General features: G+C 54.4%; 1 pseudogene; it reads right to left on the reverse strand.

Annotated features, from left to right (window-relative positions):
• On the reverse strand, positions 2359-3402 carry LOC100288803 (F-box and WD repeat domain containing 2 pseudogene; annotated as a pseudogene).

Raw genomic sequence — 4231 nt, forward strand, 5'->3', positions numbered from 1 at the left:
GCGGTGCTGGCTCTCCCCGCATCTCCTTCCCCTCCCTCTCCCAATCTCTGGGTCTGTTTTCCTGTTTTCTTGTCTTTGGTTTGCGTCTGACTCAGACTGTCTGGCTGTCTCTGGGGCTGTGTCTGACACAATCTCTGTCCATCTCTATCTCAGTCTTCTTCTGCCTCTAGGTCTCTGTTTCTCAGTCTCTGTCCCTGGCTTTCTGCCTCTGTCCTCTTCTTGGAAATCTTTTCTGTCTCTGTCCCTTCCTGTCTCTCCCTGCGGTTATCTCTCTCTGTCCCTGACCCCTTTTCTGTCTCTCTGTCTCTGTCCTGGCCACCAGTGCTCCTGACTGCAGTTGCCTAAGGTATTCCCCAGCTTTCTCCTTGCAGAACCCTGCAGGGGGCAGGGGCTGCCTGAGCTGGGAGGGCCTAAGGAAGAGGAGGAAGAGCGAGGGGCAGGAAGGGGCCAGGAGGGAGAAGCCTTTAGTATTAGCGAACTTACAACACCCTGCAGTCGAGAAACAGCCCTCGAGGAGTGAGTTGAGTTGCCCAAGTGCATGCAGCTGGCATGTGTGGGCATCAGGATTCACACCCAGAATGGCATGAAACAAACAGCCCACACTGCCTTGGATGGAGGGAGGGGAGGGGCCGGCTTTCCTCGCAGCTCCCACTCCCGCCTATTGCTTGGGAGGATGGAACCCCGCGGGGTCGTTCTGGCTCCGTATAAAGTCTCCTCGGGCTCTGGGTCTGAGGCAGCCACTCGAGCTGCGGTGCTCACTGTGCCAACGCTCTCTGCACCTAACTCCCCATCTCATCGTGGAGGCCAAGGTGAGGGGGCTTGGCCAAAAGATGCTTTTATCATCCCCCCATCCGAGGCCCAGGATTTGGCTCTCTGATGCCAAGAGAGCAAAGGGCGTCCTGGAGACAGGTGGTGAGCTCCTAGCCACAGGGATTAGCAGGCTCCTCGTCCGAGGGCCTGAGCCGGCTTGGGCTCCATTAGACAGGCTGGATTAGGGTGGCTGCGGGGATTTGGACAAGGCTGGTAGAGGGAGCAAGCAAGAAACATGCCACCTTTCTCTCTTCCCCCGCCTCTCCCAGGCCCCGATAGTTTCTACTGCCAGAACCACTTCTCCTGGTGGAAGCCCAGAGTCAACAGGCTGGGCCTAGCCCTGCTCCTATCCATTTTAACAGTGGGAAGGGTGGGGAGCTTGGCTGGTGCCAGGCCCTGAGCCTGACATTGCGAAGGACTGCATAAACTGGGTTTGGGAGGTGGATGGGCCCTTCCCTGTTCAGGACGAGCCTGACAGCTCCCAGCACACAGCAGCCTCCTGCTTGGCATGACCAAGGCAGCCACTGCCCCTGTCTGGAGGACAGACCATCAGGAAGCGGGGGCAGCAGCTGGGGGACTGGCAGGGGGTCCTCGCCGTGTAGGAGGGAGGCATGCACACCTGTGAGCAGGGGGCTGGAGGAGAAGGGGAGGGGGGTGGCAGGATTTTAGACCTGATGGAGATTTGGCTCTTGGAGGGGTGGAGGATGGCATAGCTGCTGGGGCATTCCCTGAGAATATGAGGACCAGAGACACAGCTGAGCAGGTCAAGGAGGGCAGAAGCCAAGAGTTCGGGTTTGGGCAGGAAAGTGGAGGCTTCGTGGTTCATGAGCCTGGAACTGAGGGAAGAGGCCAGGGCGGGAGAGAAAGCTGAGGTGGGATCGCCACGGAGGCGTTTAAAGCCGTGGGACGCAGGAGTTCCCTGGGGCTGAGAGTGTGGACAGACAGTGAGGCTGGAGCCCCAGGAACCCCAACATGCAGGTCTGAGCAGAAGTAAGGAGACTGGGAGGGGGTGGCCGAGGAGTTAGAGGAGAAGCAGGAGCGTAGGCACCAGAGGGGCCCAGAAACAAGGATTGAGGAAGGAGGGAACATTCAGCATAATTTATTCAGCCCCGTGCAGGGGCAGAAGGCCAAAGTGCACCTCGCACAGGCCATAGGGCCCTCTTACAGCATCCTGATACAGCTGCTCAGGCTCGATGAGGTAGCACAGAATTTGTACAAAATGCACAGGACGTCATTTAAAAGGTTGCCCCAAGAAGAAGTCCTGCTGTTCCCTGACCCTGGGACTGTTTTCCTCAGCTGGGCTGCTATGGCAGAGTTCCACACAGACAGTCAAAGAACAGAGATTTTTTTTTTTTTATGGTGAAAAGCTTTAATAACAGACAATGTGATTTCATACGCAACCAATCAGCAGATTAACAAATCATTTAACTTTCTTTATATAAAACCAATATTCCACTCAAGAAAGATGAACCAGAATGGATCCTTTTACACTCACCAACCTAACTGAGTACAAATGAAGTCCATGATGTACCCCGTTAGCATGCTACATGTGTGTCAGTAAAACAAGCCCTCCCCCACCCCAAGCCCTGGCCCCCTGGCAAACAGATAAATGACGTGCACTGCGTGATGATACCATAGGTGAGAACTTTGGTTCATGCAGTCAGCTGGCATAGAGGTTGCACCCCAAAACCCCCGCCCTAGCACCCATAGTCAGTCGGTGGTGGGGGCTCATGGTGTCAGCTGTGTTCCTTCCACACCAGGTGAATACTGTGGTCAGGAATACTGGTGGCAAAGGCCAAGCCCGTGTCATTGTGCCCATCTGCTCCATTCAGCCAGGATGCTTCGCCTGCCAGGAAGCTTGAGCCTCTCTTTGATTTCTTGTACTCTGGAAGAGGCCAGCGATTAATGAGGCTCTGGGTCTGCAAGTCCATGATGTACAGGTGGCAGCTGCCAAACAGTAGGGCAACAGTATTTCCAAAGCCAAGCAAGGCCAAGTTTGCTATCTCAGGAGTCTTGATGACCCTGAGAATATCATAACTGTTGGCAAAGTCCCGCTGCTAGAGACGGAGGGCTGAACTACAAACAGTGTATTTGCCATCAACACGAAGTCTTGGCTGCAGGCGGATACTTCTAACCTCAGAGACAAGAGGATGTCTTTAAGCACTTGCAGTTGATTTCTGTCCCAGTTGGCCAAATCTTAATCTCATATTTGTCTGCACTTAAGAGGAGGTATCCTTCAGGACTGTGTGCAAGAGAGACTTGACTTTGCACTTCTGCAGAACTACCTTGGTGACCCATGGCGTGTGCCCAGTGAGTGTGCTCAGGCATGCCCCAGTAGATAAAGTCCATCCTTTCACAGTGAAGGCCGCAGAGCCGCTCACCAAGGTATCATTGTAGTCCACGCTAAACACTGCCCGCGTGTGCCCGCGAAAGTGCCGGATCCTGGCTCCGGAACTCCATTCCCAGCAAGCCACAGTGTCGTCAAAGGAGTCTGTCACAAGCTTCTGTTCATTGAACTTCACCACGGCACAAGTGTGGGTCTGGATGCCACAAACGCACTGCCCTGTGGTCACACCCCATAGCTTTGCAGACCCTGTGGCTGTTTTCCTCAGCTGGGCGGCCATAACAAAGCCCCACAGACAGAGGGTTAAAGAACAGAGATTTGTCTTCCCACTGCTCTGGAGGCTGGGCGTCTGAGATCAGGGTGCCATCGTGGTGGGTTCTGGGGCGGGCCTCTCCCTGGCTTGCAGACCATCCTCTTCTCCTTGCGTCCTCATGTGGCCTTTTCTTGGTGTGTGCAGGAGGAGGGAGAGTCCTCTTGTCCTCTGCTCATGAGGCCACCAGGCCTATCGGATTCGGGCTCCACCCTCGCGACCTCATCTAACCTCATCCCCTGTTACAGCTCCGTCCACTCTTACAGCACTGATATTGCCAGTAGGGCTTCCGCGTAAGAATTTGGGGACATAACTCCCTCCATAGACCCTCTGACTGGGCCTGAGGCATCCAGGGGAAAGAGCAAAGGGCACCCAGTGGGACTATAGGGGGGTGGTTCAGTGCACACTCAGGGCTACAGAGCCCAGGTCTAAATCTTGGCCTGGTCACTTTTTATCAAGGTGACCTTGAGCAAGTCTCTGTACCTTTATTTAGCCTCAGTGTCCGTATCTTTTTTTTTTTTTTTTTTTTTTTTGAGACAGAGTCTCGCTCTGTCGCCCAGGCTGGAGTGCAGTGATGCAACCTCCGCCTCTCCGGTTCAAATGATTCTCCTGCCTCAGCTTCCTGAGTAGCTGGGATTACAGCCACCCGCCACCACACCTGGCTAATTTTTTGTATTTTTAGTAGAGATGGGGTTTCACCGTGTTAGCCAGGATGGTCTCGATCTTCTGACCTCATGATCCGCTTATGAGTGTGGCATAGAAATGCA

This window comes from Homo sapiens, chromosome 5, assembly GCF_000001405.40.
Source record: "Homo sapiens chromosome 5, GRCh38.p14 Primary Assembly".
Classification (NCBI taxonomy): domain Eukaryota; kingdom Metazoa; phylum Chordata; class Mammalia; order Primates; family Hominidae; genus Homo; species Homo sapiens.